The sequence below is a fragment of the Homo sapiens genome, chromosome 17, assembly GCF_000001405.40.
Source record: "Homo sapiens chromosome 17, GRCh38.p14 Primary Assembly".
Classification (NCBI taxonomy): domain Eukaryota; kingdom Metazoa; phylum Chordata; class Mammalia; order Primates; family Hominidae; genus Homo; species Homo sapiens.
The window spans coordinates 17,327,876-17,348,440 of NC_000017.11; the positions used below are offsets into that span (position 1 = coordinate 17,327,876).

At 48.1% G+C, this 20,565-nt stretch overlaps 1 protein-coding gene across 10 annotated transcripts in view; it reads left to right on the top strand.

The window, feature by feature from the left end:
• NT5M (5',3'-nucleotidase, mitochondrial) overlaps positions 1-19,788 on the top strand; it is a 44,291-nt gene extending 24,503 nt beyond the window's left edge. For 2 of the 10 annotated variants that reach the window (NM_001438936.1, XM_011523964.2), the window contains 3 exons: positions 5,621-5,713; positions 16,919-17,051; positions 18,930-19,788. In NM_001438936.1, coding sequence (NP_001425865.1) covers positions 5,621-5,713; positions 16,919-17,051; positions 18,930-19,072 — 369 coding nt within the window. In that variant the 3' untranslated portion in view covers positions 19,073-19,788. Of the gene's footprint in view, positions 1-5,620; positions 5,714-16,868; positions 17,052-17,352; positions 17,438-18,929 lie in introns of those variants that run through there. The other 8 variants (XM_047436421.1, XM_047436419.1, XM_047436422.1 and 5 more) reach the window with 8 other exon arrangements.
• Positions 19,789-20,565: the final 777 nt, after the last annotated feature.

Sequence of the window (20,565 nt, forward strand, 5' to 3'; positions counted from 1 at the left end):
TCCTAGCCTCAAAGTAGTCTGCCCATCTCGGTCTCCCGAAGTGCTGGGATTACAGGTGTGAGCCACCATGCCCAGCCAGAAACATGATTGTTAATAGCTGAAGACGTCTAGTGAGTAAGCCTTTGTATGGTCATGTTCTTAGGGTGAATTCCAAGAAATACAATTCCTGGGTCACGCGAGGAAAGGTAGGGTTCGGGTATATATCACACAGAAATTTGTATTCATTTCCACTGTACCAGCCGTGGGCAGGGTACTTTCCTCCTGCCAGGGGCTAGGCTGGACCACATAGGGTCAGTCAATAGAGGAAGCAGGCCATTGAACAAACACATGAAGACAGGAAAGTGCACAGCAGATTTGAGGAATTCAGGGTGAATTTTGTTGGCCAGTGGCTACAGGGGCTGATTGGGAGCGGGGTTGGGCCAGGTGAAATGGATTAGTTTATCCAAATCTCCCAGCTGTCCTCATGGTTTAGCCACACCACCACCTTTAACCCTAGAACTAAGACAAGGGGAGAAGTGCGGGTGAGAAGTGAGTAAGGCGAAGGTTGCTTCCAAGCACCCCCTCACCCACCGTTTGTGCCCCTCCCAACCCTATGGACTGGTACTTCTTCCCTGGCTGAGGGCGGGCTGGTATTAATGGTTCCTGTGTTCCATGCCTGGGGGAGGCAAGGAAGGGCTGGAGATGGGTCTCGGGGCACATCTGCACAGGACAGAGGTCTCCCACGGTAGCCCCGGTCTAGGCTTAAGCCCCAGAGCACTCACAGTTCCTTCCCCAGCTCCTGTCCACTGAGTAGGTTCAGCCTTTGTTGCTAGAAGTGGAAACTTTTCTCCTTGGTTGATTTTCTTTCAAGACCCAGTCAGAGGATGGGAACCTGACTGCTGTGAGGTCTCTCACTTTATCACCACATGGAGGGAGTGGAATTGGGTTACATTCAGGTTGCCAGAACCTTCTTTCTGGCTGGAAAGAAGGTTTCCCAACATTCTAAACCCAGATTGCTCGGTAATAGTTAACAATAGCCAAGCTGGTAGTATACGTCTCCAAGGGCTTTCCCTGTAGTGATCCATTTAGCCTTCATAGTAGCCCTACAAAATAGGTATTTCTATTTTTTATTTTTATTTTTTAGACGGAGTCTCGCTCTGTCTCCCAGGCTGGAGTGCAGTGGCGTGATCTTGGCTCACTGCAAGCTCCCCATCCCGGGTTCATGCCATTCTCCTGCCTCAGCCTCCCGAGTAGCTGGGACTACAGGTGCCTGCTACCACGCCGAGCTAATTTTTTTGTATTTTTAGTAGAGACGGGGTTTCACTGTGTTAGCCAGGATGGTCTCGATCTCCTGACCTCGTGATCTGCCCGCCTCGGCCTCCCAAGGTGCTGGGATTACAGGCGTGAGCCGCAGCGCCTGGCCTTAAAATAGGTATCTTTATTATCCCTGTTCTACAGATGGGCAGACTGAGGCACAGACAGTTGAAGCTGAGGGTTAGCGGCCAGAAAGTGGGGAGTCAGACTTCAGAGCCCATGCTCTGCTCCTCGGCCTCACTGCCTCTTCTCGGACTCCTTGACTTGAAACTTAAGCAGCATGACCTGTACCTTTTCACCCCCTAGAGAGATTTGAAAATCCGTGTCAGGTTCTTCATGCACAGGCATGGCATTTTACTCTGAGATTTTCCAGTTCAACAAGGGGAGTAATCACAAGCCAAATTAAGGGAGGGGCTTGGGTGCGAAGGGGAATGTGCTCTTCTGATTTGAAGTCTGGTTTCCAGATGACATGTCTGCCTGATTCGACGTTGATTTTTAGAATAAATGTCAAAAATTCCCACTTCAGGCCGGGTACAGTGGCTCATGCTTGTAATCCCACCACTTTGGGAGGCTGAGGCAGGAGGATCACTTGAACCCAGGAGTTTGAGACCTGCCTGGGCAACATGATGAGACCCCATCTGTACTAAAAAAAAATTAGCCAGGCGTGCTGATGTGTGCCTGTAGTTGCAGCATCTTGGGAAGCTGAGGTGGGAGGATTGCTTGAGCCTGGGAGGTCAAGGCTGCAGTGAGCTATGATCATGCCACTGCATTACAGCCTTAGTGACAGAGTAATTCCCTGTCTCAAAAAAACAAAAACAAACAAAACAAAACAAAACAAAAACCTACTCCTGGCTGGGCGTGGTGGCTCACGCCTGTAATCCCAGCACTTTGGGAGGCCGAGGTGGGCAGATCATGAGGTCAGGAGATTGAGACCATCTTGGCTAACACGGTGAAACCCCGTCTCTACTAAAAATACAAAAAATTAGCCGAGCGTTGTGGCGGGCGCCTGTAGTCCCAGCTACTTGGGAGGCTGAGGCAGGAGAATGGCGTGAACCCGTGAGACAGAGGTTGCAGTGAGCCGAGATGGTGCCACTGCACTCCAGCCTGAGTGACAGTCAGACTCCGTCTCAAAAAAAAAAAAACAAAAAAAAAACCCACTCCTTAATTGAGCCTCTTCCTCTAACCTGAAATAAAAACGTAAAAACGTAGACTTTTTTTTTTTTTTTGACAGAGTTTTGCTGTTGTTGCCCAGGCTGGAATGCAATGGCGTGATCTCAGCTCACTGCAACGTCTGCCTCCTGGGTTTAAGTGATTCCCCTGCCTCAACCTCCTGACTAGCTGGGATTACAGGCATCTGCCACCATGCCCGGCTAATTTTTGTATTTTTTGTAGAGACAAGGTTTCACCACATTGGCCAGGCTGGTCTCGAACTCCTGACCTCAGGTGATCCATCTGCCTCAGCCCCGCAAAGTGCTGGGATTACAGGTGTGAGCCACCGCGCCTGGCCAACATAGACCATTTTTTTTTTAACTTAAGATAATGAATTACATTTCTTTGCTTTCTTTCTTTCTTTCTTTTTTTTTTTTTTTTTTGAGACGGAGTCTCACTTTGTCACCCAGGCTGGAATGCAGTGGTGTGATCTCAGCTCACTGAAAGCTCAGCCTCCCGGGTTCACGCCATTCTCCTGCCTCAGCCTCCCGAGTAGCTGGGACTACAGGCACATGCTACCACACCTGTCTAATTTTTTGTATTTTAGTAGAGATGGGGTTTCATCGTGTTGCCCAGGCTAGTCTTGAACTCCTGAGCTCAGGCAATCGCCTGCCTCAGCCTCCCAAAGTGCTAGGATTACAGGCGTGAGCCACTGGACCCGGCCTTCTTTGCATATTTTACATTAAATTTCCAGTTGCTCCAGTACGTTTTCCAGTTACTCCCTGTAGGACTTAGGCTAAAAGACTTGGCACTTTCTCTTGGCATGTAAAGAAACCCTAGGTTCTTTTGGGGATGGCACGGCCACACTGCCAGCATTCAGGAGCTTCCCCTGGAGCTCCTGAACCCCAGTGTCACCCCTGCCATCTCAGTGGGGCTCATGGTGTCTTTCTTGGCGTGTTTCTGGCCCATACCGTGTTTATTTTAAAAATTGTTCATGCTAATTGGCATGGGGTTTCTTTTAGGGGTGATGGAAACATTCTGGAATTTAGATAGTGGTAGTGGTTGCATAACATTGTTGATACACTAAAGACCATTGAATTGTACACTTTAAATTGGTAAATTTTATGATATGTGAATTACATTTCCAAAAAATAAAATAAAATTGGCTGTTCAGATGGCTAATAATTCCAAAGCTAACTCACTCCTTCTAGTTAGATCTGGCCATTTCATCATTGTAATAGGGATTGTAGACAAAAGTGCATGATCCCTTTATTTATTTATGTAATTTTTTTTTTAAAGACAGAGTCTCGTTCTGTTGCCCAGGTGGATTCTAGTGGAACGATCATAGCTCACTGCAGCCTCTAACTCCCAGACCATCGTGCCTGGTCATAATACCTTTAAAGTGTCCTAGATCAAGCCATTCATTTTGAAAACCTCCAGTTTTATGGTATTCTTTTTCTTTTTCTTTTCTTTTTTTTTTTGAGATGGAGTCTCGCTGTGTCACCTAAGCTGGAGTGCAGTTGCGCGATCTCTGCTCACTGCAAGCTCCGCCTCCTGGGTTCACACCATTCTCCTGCCTTGGCCTCCCAAGTAGCTGGGACTACAGGCGCCCACCACCATGCCTGGCTAATTTTTTGTATTTTTAGTAGAGGCAGGGTTTCAGTGTGTTGGCCAGGATGGTCTTGATTTCCCGACCTCATGATCCACCCGCCTCGGCCTCCCAAAGTGCTAGGATTACAGGTGTGAGCCACCGCATCCGGCCTATGGTATTATTTTTCTAGCAGTGTCATTCACCCAACTCCACACCTGCATACCCCACCCTCCTTGATTTAAGACCTGTCTTGGGATCTGCTCATCTGAGTGGAGCAGGACTCTGTCCCTTCCAACATTTTGCCTGCTAGGGACTGTGTCTAGCTCATAGATCTCTTATTTCTGATGTGTCCATTTGGTCATGGGCCTGTGAGCCACGCGGAGCAGGAAGGGCAGGGAGGTGGGGTCGAGAGCTGCCAGCCATCTGCCCCTCTGATCTTTTCCAGCACTGTCCTCTGCCAGCATCCCCCTTTACTTCTGTGTCTTCTTGGTAATCACTGAACTCTTTGCTCTCGAGGTGGTTCATGGACTTCCTGCCTGCACTCCTAGGTCTTGGAGAGAGCGCCTCCCCTGGGAGTCCTGCCAGCAATTCTTTAGCTACATGTAGTTTTAGGTTCCATGGCAGGCATTTTTCCTGATTCTGGTTTAGAACGACAGCACCGCTTTATGCTTGGATACCTTTACATTCATCTGGGCTGAACTATTTTCTCCCCAGAGCTTTCAGGAACCAAAATGGTAATCAGGTGATGAGCAGCCCTTCTCCTTCCAAACAGCTGCTGATAAACCTAACAGACCCTTGTCAGGCAAATCTGAGCTAAAGGCACAATGCCCCCACCAGTGTGCACATTATTATAGCTGTTGAACCTACGTCAGTGCACCATGGTCACTCAGAGCCCATAGTTTACATCAGGGTTCACTCCCGGTATCCTGCGTTCTGTGGTATTGGTAATCGGGGAGGCTGTGCGTTGTGTGGGAGTGGAGGGTATATGGGAACTCTGTACCTCTGCTCAATTTTGCTGTAAACCTAAACCTGCTCTAAAAAATAAAGTCTCTTAAAAAAAATCCACAGTGAATGAGAGTCCCTCTTGCTCCCTATCCTTGTCAGCATTTGGTATTGTCAGGGCTCTGGATTTTGGCTGTTCTCATAGGCAGGGAGTGGTGTCTCATTGTTGTTTTGATTTGCATTTCCTTGATTAATGACATTGGACATGTTTTTAAGCAAGTAACCCTTTGTATATTTTCTGTAACGAAATGTTCAAGTCTTTTGCCTCGTTTCTCATTGAGTTGTTTGTGAGTTGTGAGAGTTCTTTAGATATGCTAGAAACAAGTTCTTTATCAGATAATGTGTTTTACAAATATTTTATCCCAGTCTGTGATTTGTATTTTAATTTTCTTTTTCTTTTTTTTCTTTTTTGAGAGACAGAGTTTTGCTGTCACTCCAGCTGAAGTACAGTGGCATGATCCCGCCTCACTGCAGCTGTGACCCCCTGGGCTGAAGTGATCCTCCCACCTTAGCCTCCTGAGTAGTTGGGACTATAGGTGTGTGCCGCCATGCCAAGCTAATTTTTAAAACACTTTTTTTTTGTAGAGATGGGGTCTTGCTATGTTGCCCAAGCTGGTCTTGAACCCCTGGACTCAAGCAATCCTCCTGCCTTGGCCTCCCAAAGTGCTGAGGTTACAGGTGAGTTTTCTCAACAGAGTCTTTAGAAGAGCAGAAGTTTTATACTTTTAGATTTTTTATTTAGGTTATGATCCATTTGTTTTTTTGAGACGGAGTTTTGCTTTGTCTCCCTGGCTGTAGTACAACAGCGTGATCTCGGCTCACTGCAACCTCCGCCTCCCAGGTTCAAGCGATTCTACCTGCCTCATCCTCCCTAGTAGCTGGGATTACAGGCACCTACCACCATGCCCAGCTAATGTTTTTGTATTTTTTTTTTTTTTTTTGAGATGGAGTCTCACTCTGTCACCCAGTCTGGAGTGCAGTGGCACAATCTCGGCTCATTGCAAACTCCACCTCCCGGGTTCATGCCATTCTCCTGCCTCAGCCTCCCGAGTAGCTGGGACTACAGGCACCCACCACCACACCTGGCTAATTTTTTGTATTTTTAGTAGAGACGGGGTTTCATCGTGTTAGCCAGGATGGTCTCAATCTCCTGACCTCATGATCCGCCCGCCTCGGCCTCCCAAAGTGCTGGGATTACAGGTGTGAGACACCGTGCCTGGTATGTTTTTGTATTTTAGTAGAGATGGGGTTTCACCATGTTGGCCAGGCTGGTGTCAAACTCCTGACGTCAAGTGATCCACCTGTCTTGGCCTCCCAAAGTATTGGGATTACAAGCGTGAGCCACCATGCCTGGCTCGTTTTGAGTTAATTATCATATATTGTAGGAGGTAAAAATGGAGAGGTTTTTTTTTTTTTTGCATGTGGATCCAGTTGTGCCTCTGTTGGAAAGGCCACCCTTTCTCACTGAAGTGTCATGGTAGCCTGGGGTCCATTTCTGGAATGTATCCTGCTTCTCTGATCTAAGTGTCCCACCTAATGTAAATACCACACTGTCTCAGTTACTGTAGTTTTTTTTTTTTTTTTTTTGAGATGGAGTCTTGCTCTGTCGCCAGGCTGGAGTGCAGTGGTGTGATCTCGGCTCACTGCAACCTCCTACTGGGTTCAAGTGATTCTCGTGCCTCAGCCTCCCGAGTAGCTGGGATTACAGGCACGCGCCACCACACCCAGCTAATTTTTGTATTTTTAGTTGAGACGGGGTTTCACCATGTTGGCCAGGATGGTCTTGATCTCCTGACCTTGTGATCCGCCCACTTTGGCCTCCCAAAGTGCTGGGATTACAGGCGTGAGCCACTGTGCCTGGCCACTGTAGTTTTATAGTAACTTTTGAAAGCAGTGTGAGTTTTCCAAAATTATTCTTCATTTTAAAAATTGTTTTGGCTATTCTGGGTCCTTTATATTTCTATAGAATGTTTAGAACAAGCTGGTCAGTTTCTACAAAGAACCTGGTGAGAATTTGATTGCAAGTGCATTGTAGCTATAAAGCTTAACAATATTGGGTCTTCTGATCCACAAGCACATACACATCCTCATTTATGTAGGCCACCTCTACCTTCTCTCAGCAATGTTTTGTAGCTTTCAGTGTACCACTCTTGCACATATTGTGTTAAATTTGTCTCTATTTCATGTTTTTTTTTTTGGCATAGAGACTATCTTTATAAATATATTTTTAAATATTTTATAATGGTAAATACACATGATAAAATTTATCAAGTGTACAGTTCAGCTTATTTCGTTTTTAATGCTATTATAAACTTTGTTTAATTGAAATTTCCAAATATATAGAATACAAGTGATTTTTTTTTTTGAGATGGAGTCTTGCTCTGTTGCCCAGGCTGGAATGCAGTGGTATGATCTCGGCTCACTGCAAGCTCCGCCTCCTGGGTTCATGCCATTCTCCTGCCTCCACCTCCCAAGTAGCTGGGACTATAGGCGCCCGCCACCATGCCCAGCTAATTTTTGGAATACAAGTGGTTTTTTAATTTTAATTTTTAATTTTTGTGGGTACATAGTAGGTGTGTATTTATGAGGTACATTAGATGTTTTGATACAGGCATGCAATGTGTAACAAACACATCAGGGCAGATGGGGTATCCATTATCACCTTAAACATTCAATCCTTTGTGTTATAGACAATCCAATTATATTCTTAGTTGTTTTAAAATGAACAATTTTTTTTTTTGAGATGGAGTCTTGCTCTGTCACTCAGGCTGGAGTGCAGTGGCGCGATCTCTGCTCACTACAACCTCTGCCTCCTGGGTTCAAGCAGTTCTCTTGCCTCAGCCTCCCAAGTAGCTGGAACTACAGGCACGTGCCACCATGTCCGGCTAATTTTTGTATTTTTAGTAGAGACGGGGTTTTGCCATGTTGGCCAGCTGGTCTCTAACTCCTGACCTCAAGTAATCCACCTGCCTTGGCCTCCCAAGGTGCTGGGATTACAGGCATGAGCCACCACGCCTGGCCATGAACAATTAAATTATTTTTGATTATAGTCACCCTGTTGTGCTAGCAAATACTAGGTCTTATTCATTCTTTTTTTTTTTTTTTTTTTTGAGATGGAGTCTCGCTCTGTCACCCAGGCTGGAGTGCAGTGGCGCGATCTTAGCTCACTGCAAACTCTGCCTCCTGGGTTCACACCATTCTCCTGCCTCAGCCTCCTGAGTGGCTGGGACTGCAGGTGCCCGCCACCACGCCCAGCTAATTTTTTGTATTTTTAGTAGAGACAGGGTTTCACCGTGTTAGCCAGGATGGTCTTGATCTCCTGACCTCGTGATCCGCCTGCCTTGGCCTCCCAAAGTGCTGGGATTACAGGCATGAGCCACCGCGCCCAGCCTATTCATTCTATTTTTTTGTGCCCATTAACTCTCTTCACTTTCCTTCTAGATACTCCTCCACTCCCCCTTCCCAGCCTCTACTAACCATCCTCCTACTATCTCCATGAGTTCAATTGTTTTAATTTTTAGCTCCCATAGGTAAGTGAGAACATGTATAGCCCTTTCTGTGCCTGGCTTATATCACTTAACATAATGACCTCCAGTGCCATCCATGTTGTTGACAATGACAGGCTCTCATTCTTTTTTCTTTTCTTTTTTTTTTTTTTTTGACGGAGTCTTACTCTGTCACCCAGGCTTGAGTGCAGTGGCGTGATCTCTACTCACTGCAACCTCCGCCTCCCGGGTTCAAGTGATTCTCCTGCCTCAGCCACCTGAGTAGCTGGGACTACAGGCATGCACCACCACACCTGGCTAATTTTTGTATTTTTAGTAGAGGTGGGGTTTCATCATGTTGGTAAGGCTGGTTTTGAACTCCTGACCTCTTGATCCACCCTCCTCGGCCTTCCAAAGTGCTGGGTTGCTCTCATTCTTTTTTATGGCTGAATAGTACTTGATTGTGTATATTTACCACATTTTTTAAATCCAGTCATCAGTTGATGTACACTGAGGTTGCTTCCAAATTTTGGCTATTGTGAATAGTGCTGCAATAAACATGGGAGTGCGAGTATCTTTTCCATATACTGATTTCCTTTTTTTTAGGGGTATATACCTAGGAGTGGGACTGCTGGATTTTCAGAGGAACTGCCATTATATTCCTACCAATAGTGTACAAGGGTTTTATTTTCTTCTTGTCCTCTCCAGCATTTGTTATTGCCTGACTTTTGGATAAAAGCCATTTTGACTGGGGTGAGATGATATTTCCTTGTAGTTTGATTTGTATTTCTCTGATGATCAGCGATATTGAGCACCTTTTTATATACCTGTTTGTCATTTGTATGTCTTTTGTTTTGTGTTGTTGAGACAGGATCTCGCTCTGTAGCTCAGGCTGGAGTGCAGTGGTGTGAAAATAGCTCACTGTAGCCTCAACCTCCTGGACTGAAGCTATCTTTCCACCTCAGCCTCCTGAGTAGCTGGGACTATGGGTGTGTGCCACCAAGCCTAATTTTTTTTTTTTTTCTTTAGACTGGGTTTTGCCCTGTTTCTCAGACTGGTGTACAAGTGGTTTAATCATGGCTCACTGCAGCCTTGACTTCCCAGGCTCAATCAATCCTCCCACCTTAGCCTCCCAAGTAGCTGAGACTACAAGCGTGTGCCACCATGCCTGGCTAATTTTTGTATTTCTTGTAGAGACGGGGTCTTACTATGTAGCCCAGGCTGGTCTTGAACTCCTGCCCACCTCAGCCTCCCAAAGTGCTGGGATTATAGGTGTGAGCCATCACACGCAGCCACCATATGTCTTCTTTTGAGAAATGTCTATTTAGATCTTTTGCCCATTTTAAAATCAGATTATTAGATTTTTTTCTATAGAGTTGTTTGACTCCTTATGTATTCTGGTTATTAATCCCTTGTCAGATGGATAGTTTGCAAATACTTTCTTCCATTCTGTGGATTGTCTCTTCACTTTGTTGACTGTATCCTTTGCTGTGCAGAAGCTTTTTAACTGGATGTGATCCCATTTGTCCGTGTTTGCTTTGGTTGCCTGTGCTTTTGGGGTACTATTCAAGAAATCTTTGTCCAGACCAATGTCCTGGAGAGTTTCCCCAATGTTTTCTTTTAGTAGTTCTTGTATATGGCAAGAGATAGGGGTCTAGTTTCATTCTTTTGCATATGGATATCCAGTTTTCCAGTGCCATTTATTGAAGAGACTGTCGTTTCCCCAATATATGTTCTTGGCACCTTTGTCAAAAATGAGTTCAAGGTAGATATATGGATTTATCTGTGGGTTCTGTGATCTTTTTTTTTTTTTTTGAGACGGAGTCTTACTCTGTCGCCCAGGCGGGAGTACAATGGCACCATCTCGGCTCACTGCAATGTCCGTCTCCCGGGTTCAAGTGATTCTCCTGCCTCAGCCTCTGGAGTAGCTGGGACTACAGGCATGTGCCACCATGCCCAGCTAATTTTTGTATTTTTAGTAGAGATGGGGTTTCACCACGTTAGCCAGGCTGGTCTTGAACTCCTGACCTCACGCTATCCGCCCGCCTCGGCCTCCCAAAGTGCTGGGATTTCAGGCATGAGCCACTGCGCCTGGCCTGGTTCTGTATTCTTATCCACTGATCTGTGTGTCTGTTTTTATGCCAGTAACATGCCATTTGGACTACTGTAGCTTTGTAGTATCATTTAAAGTCAGATAATGTGATTTTTCCAGTTTTGTTCCTTTTGCTTAGGATAGCTCTGGCTATTCTGGAATTTTTGTGGTTCTATGTAAATGTTAAGGGTTTTTTTTTTTTTTTTTTTTTTGTATTTCTGTGAAGAATGTCATTGGTATTTTTTTTTTTTTTTTTTGAGATGGAGTCTTACTCTGTCACCCAAGCTGGAGTGCAGTGGCGCGATCTCGGCTCACTGCAAGCTCCACCTCCCAGGTTCACACCGTTCTCCTGCCTCAGCCTCCCAAGTAGCTGGGACTACAGGCGCCCGCCACCACGCCCAGCTAATTTTTTGTATTTTTTAGTAGAGACGGGGTTTCACTGTGTTAGCCAGGATGGTCTCGATTTCCTGACCTCGTGATCTGCCTGCCTCGGCCTCCCGAAGTGCTAGGATTACAGGCGTGAGCCACCGCACCTGGCCTGTCATTGGTATTTTAATAGGGATTGCATTAAATCTGTAAATTGCTTTGGGTAGTATGAACATTTTAACTATATTTATTCTTCTAATCCATGGACATGGAATGAGTATCTTTCCACTTTTTGTGTCTTCAATTTATTCTATCAGTGTTTTATAGTTTACAGTGTAGAGCTCTTTCACTTGGGTTAATTCTTAGGTATTTTATTTTATTTGTAGCTATTTTAAATGGGATTCCTTTCTTAATTTTTTTTCAGATTGTTCCTGTTTTTTTCAGGATTGTTCCTGTTTTTTTCAGATTTTGTATCCTGCAACTTTGCTGACTTTATCAGTTCTAGTAGTTTTTTGGTGGAATCTTTAGGTTTTTCCAAATATAAGATCATGTCATCTGCAAACAAGGATAATTTGACTTCTAATCCTTTCTAATTTGGATGCTCTTTCTTTCTTTCTCTTGTCTGATTGCTCTAGCGAGGACTTCCAGTACTATGTTGAATCACAGTGGTGAAAGTAGGCATTCTTGTCATGTTCCCGGTCTTAGAGGAAAGGCTTTCAGTTTTTCCCCATTCAGTATGATACTAGCCATATATAGGTCTGTCATATATGGCTTTTATTATGTTGAGGTATGTTCCTTCCATACCCAGTTTTTTGAGGGTTTTTATCATGAAAGGATATTGAATTTTATCAAATACCTTTTCAGCACCAATTGAAATAATCATATGTTTTTTGTCCTTCATTCTGTTGATATGATATATCACATTAATTGATTTGCATTTGCTGAACTATCCTGGAATCCCTGGGATAAGTCCCACTTGGTCATGCTGGATGATCTTTTTAATGTGTTGTTGAATTCAATTTGCTAATCTTTTGTTGAGGATTTTAGGAATCAATATTTATCAATGATATTGGCCTATAGTTTTCTTTTCTTTTTTTCAATGTGTTTTTGTCTGGTTTTGGTATCACGGTGATACTGGCTTCATAGAATGAGTTTGGAAGTATTCCTTCCTTCTGTATATTTCTGAATAGTTTAAGTAGGATTGGTATTAGTTATTTAAGTGTTTGGTAGAATTCAGCAGTGAAGCTATTGGGTCCCGGCCTTTTCTTTGCTGGGAGACTTTTTATTATGGCTTCAGTTGTTGTTACTTGTTATTGGTCTGTTTGTTTTGAATTTCTTCATGGTTCAATCTTGGTAGATTGCATGTATCTAGGAATTTGTCCATTTCCTCTAGATTTTCTAATGTATTGGCATGTAGTTGCCCATAGTAGCCACCGATGATTGTTTAAATTTCTGTAATATCAGTTGTAGTGTTTCCTTTGTCATCTCTGATTTTATTTATTTGGGTCTTCTCTCTTTTTTTCTTAGTCTGGCTAAAGGTTTGTCATTTTGTTTACCTTTCCAAAAAACCAACTTTTTGTTTCTTTTCACAAAACCAATCTTTTGTATTTTTTTTATTTCATATTCATTTATTTCTGCTCTGATTTTTGTTATTTCTTTTCTTTCCTTTCTTTTCTTTTTTTTTTAATTTTGAGATGGAGCCTTGCTCTGTCGCCCAGGCTGGAGTGCAGTGGCACAATCTCGGCTCACTGCAACCTCTGCCTCCTGGGTTCAAGCGATTCTCCTGCCTTAGCCTCTCGAGTAGCTGGGACTACAGGTAGGTGCCACCATGCCCAGCTTATTTTTGTTTTTTTAGTAGAGATGGGGTTTCACCATGTTGGCCAGGCTGGTCTTGATCTCCTGACCTTGTGATCTGCCCGCCTTGGCCTCTCAAAGTGCTGGGATTACAGTGTGAGCCACCGCGCCCGGCCTGCTCTTGTTTTTCTGTTTCTTTAGGATGCATCATTAAGTTGTTTACTTGAAGTTTTTCTTCTTCTTTTTTTATTTTTTTTAAATTCAGGCCCCCACAGAAGCATTTTCTTCTTTTTTGATGTGGCACTTATAGCTATAAACTTCCCTCTTAGTACTGCTTTTGCTGCATCCCATAGGTTTTGGTATGTTGTACTTCCATTATCATGTGTTTCAATAAATTTTTCAATTTCCTTCATTTCTTCATTGACCCACTTCATTCAGGAGCATGTTGTTTAATGTCTCTGTGTTTGTATAGTTTCCAGAATTCCTCATTATTGATTTCTAGTTTTATTCCAAAAATACATGTGATTTTTTTATATTGACCTTGTATCCTGTTAGTTTGCCAAATTAACAGTTCTAGTTGCTTTATGTAGATGATTTGGGGCTATGAAAGTCTAGTTATAATAATTACATTTATTTAGTACGTCTGTATCAGGCATTACTCAGGTGTCCTCACAGTTTTTTATTTGATCATACCAGCAACACTGTGAGGAAACTGACCTCACAGTGGAAGTCACTGGCTTGCCCAAGGTCCCCAGCTCGTATGTATCAGAACCAGACTTAGGGCCTAATTTTGAGGGTAAGACAAAAAGGTAGAATCCTTTTTCTGAAGACTTTCTGTGTGCCAGGTGCAGTACTGAGACTCTGATGCATAATTTTCCACTAAATCCCCGAAGGCACTCACGAGGTAGATGCTGTCCTTATCCCTGTGTCACCACACAGGGACCAGACAACCTGCTGAGGGATAGAGATACTCACGTGAGAAGCTGGTGGTATCTATGCGCAGTGGCCACATAAGTGCTCATGGCTGGGCTCCAGGAGGCTCAGGGGGAACCCCATGCCCTCTTCTATTTTTACCTCTTACCATATATAAAATTTAACCCTGGCTGGGTGCAGTGGGTCATGCCTGTAATCCCAGCACTTTGGGAGGCCACGGTGGGCGGATCACAAGGTCAGGAGTTTGAGACCAGCCTGGCCAACGTGGTGAAACCCCGTTTCTACTAAAAATACAAAGAACTTAGCCAGGCATGGTGGCAGGCGCCTGTGATCCCAGCTACTTGGGAAGCTGGGGCAGGAGAATCACTTGAACCTGGGAGGTGGAGGTTGCAGTGAGCCGAGATCGTGCCATTGCACTCCAGCCTGGGCGACAGCAAGACTCTGTCTCAAAAAAAAGAAAAAAAAAAATTAACCCCAAATGGGTTAAATACATATAAATACATATATACATATAAAAGCTAAAAGTATAAAACTTCTGCTCTTCAAAAGGCACTGTTCAGAAAATGAAAAGACAAATCACAGATCATGAAAAAATATTTGCAAAATGCATTGTCTGATAAAGGACTGGTTTCTAGAATACATTAACTACTCTCACAACTCAATACAAACAGCCCACTTTGTTTTGCCGTTTATGTGACCCCTGATAAGTCACAGACCCTCTCTGAGCCTCCATTTCTTCATCTGTACGGGATCTCGTCACCACTATCGTGGCACATCATTTTCCCACGCAAACCCTTTCTGCAGAGCAGCTCCGTATTTTGTCTGCAGAGTGGCGCCGGTCCGAGATGAAACACGGAAACTGGGTGTGTGTGATTGGAAATGTTCATGGCAGTTTGTCTGATGCAGTGTTCAGGCACATGATTTGATTTCATATCTTACAAAAGCATTGGTCACAATGCAGTGGAAATTAAAAAAACAAAACCTGACCCTTCTCTTCCCACACTCCCAGATGTTCCATGTTCCAGCCACACTCCAGGGTTTTCCCCATTCCTCAAACACCTGAGCACCGGCCTGCCTTGGAACATCAGTGTTTGTTTTTCCCTCTGCCTGGAATGTTCTTGCCGACCTGTGGAGAGCCAGCCGCCTTGTCAGTCGGGTCCAGAGAAGATGCCGCCTTTGCAGTGAGGCCTCTGTGTGAGGTTGGAGCTCTGTGCTGACTGCAGAGCCCTTGCCCCCTGGCTATCGTTGTCTGTGGCCTGTGTGCCTCCTCCTGCTATGTGCACTCCATGGGTCTCCTGTTGACCATCGTCTCTCTGGTTCCTGGAACTGTACCTCATGCAATATTGGCTAAATTACTACACAAGTCAGGAAAGTTTGGCTACTTGGAATGTTGCCGTGAGGCTTAGATACGATGACGGACACTGCATGCCTGTGGAGTGGGTCTGCTGAAAACATTAGCCCCAGGCTCTTGCCCCCCATCCAGCCTGCACCAGCGATTTACAGTCCTGTGGGGAAGATGCGAAGTAAGTTATAGAGATGTGTAGCTCCGACTGTGACATTGCTAGGGAGGACAATTAGACTGGGAGAGTTCAGGGAAGGCTTAGGAGGTGGCAGCTTTAGAAGGATAGGTGCTCACTGGGCTAGGAGAAGGGCCCTGTGCATATGTGTGTGTGTGTGCATGTGTGTGTGCACACACGTGTCCATGAAGGAATGTTCCAGTCAGAGGAAATGGCACATGTGAGGCTCTGAGCAGGAAAAAGCATAATACAGTCAAGCAGTGAGAGGAGGTTGTCGTGGGTGGGCGTGGCAAGCGAGGTGGCCACAGGGAAAGGTGGCGCTGGGACAGCGGTAGGGCTGGTCTGCTCTGCAGATCCGGCCCTTTTCCCACGTCCCGTGTGCTGGCCGGTTGCAGAGGGTCATGTGGTGTCTGCCTTTGTGAAGTGGGACTCCTGAAGCGACCTCCAACTGGAAGAAAGCCACCCTAAGGCACCCATGTCCCATTTCCTTGTCATACACAGGGAAAAACGGAGTCCCTGGGAGGGCAAGGACCTGCCCGGCTCTGCCCCAGGGTGGCAGAGCCCTGAGCTCCCTGTGCAGCCTGGGCCACTCAGTGTTTCTGTTTGTTTATGCAGGAACCAGAGGAGCTTAGGGAAAAAGTGCATCCAGTCCTGCCCCTCCTCTGCTTAAAATCTGCTGCTGGTTAACCTCTGTAGCTGTAACAGGGTCTGTGACTTAAGGGTTGGTTGCCAGTGTCAGAAATCAACAAGGGTGTTGGAATCTGGATGGCTGTAGAGACAGCCTGGAGCTGGGCAGGGCTCAGTTAGGGTGCCTGGGGCCCATGGGCCAGAGCAGGTGCCGTGCTTAGGCTGCGCCCACCCCTGGCTGCACTGGGGTGGTGAGAGCAGCCAGGACCTGCTACCCTATAGGAAAAAGTCAATTTCCCCAGGGAATCGAGGCAAAGGGAAAGGATGCCGAGAGCCCACCAGTGGCGAGAGGATGCCGGTGGCTTGCCAGGCCCCGGTCTGCTCCCTGCCCCCCGGGGAGCACCAGCACCCCAGTTTGCTATCCATCGGCCCAGACACACCCTGCCCCATGTCCGTTAGCACCTGGAATGCGCTGTGTGCTAGGGGTGCCCCTGTGGTCAGCTTGCCTGTCCTGAAGAAAGCCTTCCTTGGGCAGCCTGTGGCTTCTTTGTAGGCCTGTCCCAGGTGTTATGTAACCATTGTTTAAGAGGGCCTTGACCGCTGTCTCCTCAGCTGTAAGCTCCCTGAGGGTAGGAACTGCTTTTTGTCTTGGTTTTCTTTCTTCAGTGCCTAACAGTACGCACTGCCCACATGCATGTGGGGCAGGAGGTGGCAGTGGCCCAGCAGGTGGCAGGGGTGGCACACATGGCCGCCCTCTGCTCCCTGTGTTTGGGTTATGCTGTGCAGTGTTCGCTGGGTGTGAAGAGGGGACAGGGCTGGGTTTGTCGTGACTCTGCTGCTTTCTAGCTACTGGAGTGTGGACCAGCCATGTGCGCTCCCTGAGTGCTGGCGTCCTGGGCTGGACTCCCTCCCAGCACTGACTGCCTGGCGCTGGGCCTTGGTGTCAGGCCTCCATCCCTCCCTGCCTGTTAGCTGAGGTCTAGGCTGACCCCTGCCCTCGGCTCTTGGTTGGCTCCCAGGTCTGATGTCACTTTCTTCTCACCACCTGCCCTTGCCTGTTTGCGTCCAGTATGCCTGGGTGGAGAAGTACTTTGGCCCTGACTTTCTGGAGCAGATTGTGCTGACCAGAGACAAGACCGTGGTCTCTGCTGACCTTCTCATAGACGACCGGCCGGACATCACAGGCAAGTGGCCTGCGACAGGTGAGGAGCACGTGGGGAGGGCCCCAGCCTTGGCCCCCTTCTCCTGGGCAGTGAGCACTCAGTTGCTTCCTGCCCCACTTAGTCACCAGCTGTTTGCCAGGCACTGAGCCCCTCCCCTTCGGGAAGACAAGGCCCCCTCTGTATGGGCTGTGGCCTGGTGCTCCTGGGAGCTGGGAGGAGTGGGTGCCAGCTCTAGGGTTAGCTTGAGGGGTGGCCTTGGGGAAGTCCCTTCAGCTTCAAAGCCTTGTCTTCCTCATGTAACATGGGGACTCAACTCTGGTTTCCAAATGTTTGTTTTTAGCAACAAAACCCATTTTTTCCCCCAAAAGCAATGTGGACTGATGCAATGAATGACAGGAGGGCAGAGCAGAGCTCCTGCAGGGAAGGTGGGTTGGGACAGAAGACCCCCCTCCCCAAAACCAAACAAGCCAGTCAACCTTGAACTGCCGTAGAAAGGAGAGGGAGATGGGCGTGGTGACTCACGCCTGTAATTTGGGAGGCTGATGTGGGTGGATGGCTTGAGCCCAGGAGTGTGAAACCAGCCTGGCCAACATAGCGAGACTCTCTCTACAAAAAATACAAAAATTATCTGGGCATGGTGGTGCATGCCTGTAGTCCCAGCTACTTCAGGGGCTGAAGTGGAAGGATTGTTTGAGCCTAGGAGTTGGAGACCAGCCTGGGCAACATGGTGAGACTCCCTGTCTCTACAAAAAAAAAAAAAAAAACACAAAAAAATTAGCTGATCATCATGGCGCATGCCTGTGGTCCCTGCTACTCTGGAGGCTGAGGTGGGAAAATCACCTGAGCTGGGGAGGTGGAGGCTGCAGCGAGCTGTGATTGCACCACTGCATTCCAGTCTGGGTGACAGAGTAAGACCCTGTCTCCAGAAAACAAAACAAAATACAACACAGCACAGGAGAGGGGAAGTTTTTTGGTTTACCTAACTGGAAAGGGGTGAGGAGGGCTTTGGCCGGCCAAATCTAGGCGTTGAAACTGCCCGTGAGTGTTGTTTCTTTGCCTCTTGGCTCTGCCCTGGCCTGGTTTTTGACATCCTCCTCCTGGTAGCCGTCAGTAGTTTCAGGTCGAGTCTTTTGGACACCCCAGTGGGAATATACATTCTATTTTTTTCCCTGATTGTTTTAGAACTGGCTTGGGAAACATGCCCACCTCCATCACTGCGTCCAGAGGGTGGACTCCACGAGTGTACCCACCCCACCCCACCCTCCCCAGCCTCGTGGGTTCCCGCCAGAGTCAGGGCAGACAGTGGTCTGTGGGGTCCCGTGACCTTGAGGGCCCAAAGGCTGGCTTGGCCTCCATCTCCAGCCACAGGTTGTTGGGGGCGGGTGTATAACCCAAAGGGGTGGCATCACCAGCAGCACCAGTGTGGACACGAGGGAATGAGGCCTGGAGAGGCTGCAGGGGCCTGTGATCAGCGGCTGGTGAGCTGCAGAGCTGGTGCCACCTGGCCTTCCCACACCAGGCCATCAGGATGGTGGGGCACAGAGAGGGAAGTTGGGGGAACACCGTGTGGTGTAAGCCATCAGGATGGCAGGGCACGGAGAGGGAAGTCGGGGGAACACCATGTGGTGTAAGCCATCAGGAGGCGGGGCACATGTCCCTTGCCAGTGCTGGTGGTGACAGTGACCCGCAGTCAGTCCCTGTTGACTGAGCACTGGCTGCGCGTGCTGACGGCCTCCTTGCCGCATCTCGTGCCATCCTCACACCCGCTGCGAAGGCGGGTGTGCGTGCAGTCACCCCTTTACAGAGGAAACAAGTTTTGGCAAGGCCAGATGCCTGCCTGGATACCCAGGTTTCCACCCTAGGCGGCTGCGCTCCAGGTCTCCACTGCTGAGCTGAATGCCGCTTTCCCACCCACAGGGGCCGAGCCAACCCCCAGCTGGGAGCATGTCCTCTTCACCGCCTGCCACAACCAGCACCTGCAGCTGCAGCCCCCCCGCCGCAGGCTGCACTCGTGGGCGGACGACTGGAAGGCCATTCTGGACAGCAAGCGGCCCTGCTGAGCTGGACTGTGCTTCGGGCTCCTCTGTGGGGCTCTGACCTCAGGGCTCCCAGCTCGGGGCCTGTGGGGCCAGTATGCTGGTCTGGGAGTCCCTCCTAGACTCCTGGGCCCCATGACCTCCTGCTGCATGTCCCTTCCCTTCCCCAGCCCTGCCAGGCCTTAACCTGATCACGGGGCAGGGCTGGGCCCTCTGGGCGCTTGGACATAGACACGTGGTCCCAGGCCGTTCAGCCTGACCTCAGGCAGCAGGCACCAAGCTGCCAGAAGCCCAGGGGCTCAGGACAGGGAGGAGTTGAGGCCACTGTTCAGGGGGCTGGTGGCCGTCTCCACTCCCTAGGCAAGTTCTCTGAGGCAGAAGGGGGTTCCCTGTTCCCAGAGTCTGCAGCCATCAGCAAGGAGGACCAGGAACCCGGCGACTGAGGTGCTTCCAGGTGGGGACAAGCCCCTCTTGGTCTCAGCCACAGCACCCCTTATTCCAGCTGCCCTGCCCAACCTGCTCACCCCACATGACCTTCTGTGTATTCAGCAAACACTCACTAGGTGACAGCGGCCACCAGGCTCTGTGCTGGGGGACGATACTGGCCCTGGCCTCGACCAGCTTAGAGGTTTCTCACACCTCTGTTCCCAGGGCCCCGCTCAGGGCCCAGCAGAGAGTCCGTAGGCTTGAACATGTGTTGAGTGCATGAAAAATAAATGCTGTTCATGTGTGTAGCTCAAGGCTGTGGCCTGCCCTAAGATCCTCTAGCGTCTGCCCCCACTGGGGACCCAGCTTCAGGTCTTGTAAGTGTCTGGGCAGTTCCACTGCATTGAAGACAGGCGGAGGAAGGCATGACTTCAGCCCATGCCTCGCAGGGTGGGTCCTAGTGGTGGTCTCCTCGGGCCACCCACCCACTCTCGTTGGTGAGACTTAGGAGGTGGGTCTTAGTGGTGGTCTCCTCGGGCCACCCACCCACTCTCATTGGTGAGGTTTAGGAGATGGGCTCCAGACACTCGGTTGCTCTCTCAAGTGCCTCCTTCCCGCACCTGCCCCAGTGCTTCAGAGCAGGGTCCCCCGTCCCCCTCTCCTCCGCTCTTCTCCCAAGGCCAAGTTTCTGTGGGATCGCAGGAGCCCTGTGGGGAAGGCTGGTGTTAGAGTCTCAGCTTCTGTTCCTTTTGACCCGCTGGGAAGTGACAGCTTGAACCAGCCACCTCCCCACTAACCTTTGGAGAGGTTTTGGGACCACTTTCTTGTCCTTATGCCCTTCCCGTTACTGCTCTGGCCGCTCTCCCATCATGGCCCTTGAAGGGAACATGGGTTGCCCATGCCCCTAATTCACCCCAGCTCTGGGGCCCTCCTGGCAGGCCTCTCTGCCTTATATGACAGAGATGCTTTGGGCTGCCCTGGAGGCAGGGTCAGATAGGAGAGAAGACAAGGGGAAGGCACCCATGGCCCAAGGTTGGCTGAGCTTTTTGATGTTCCTGTTCTTATAGTCTCAGGAGCTTGGGCTCCATCAC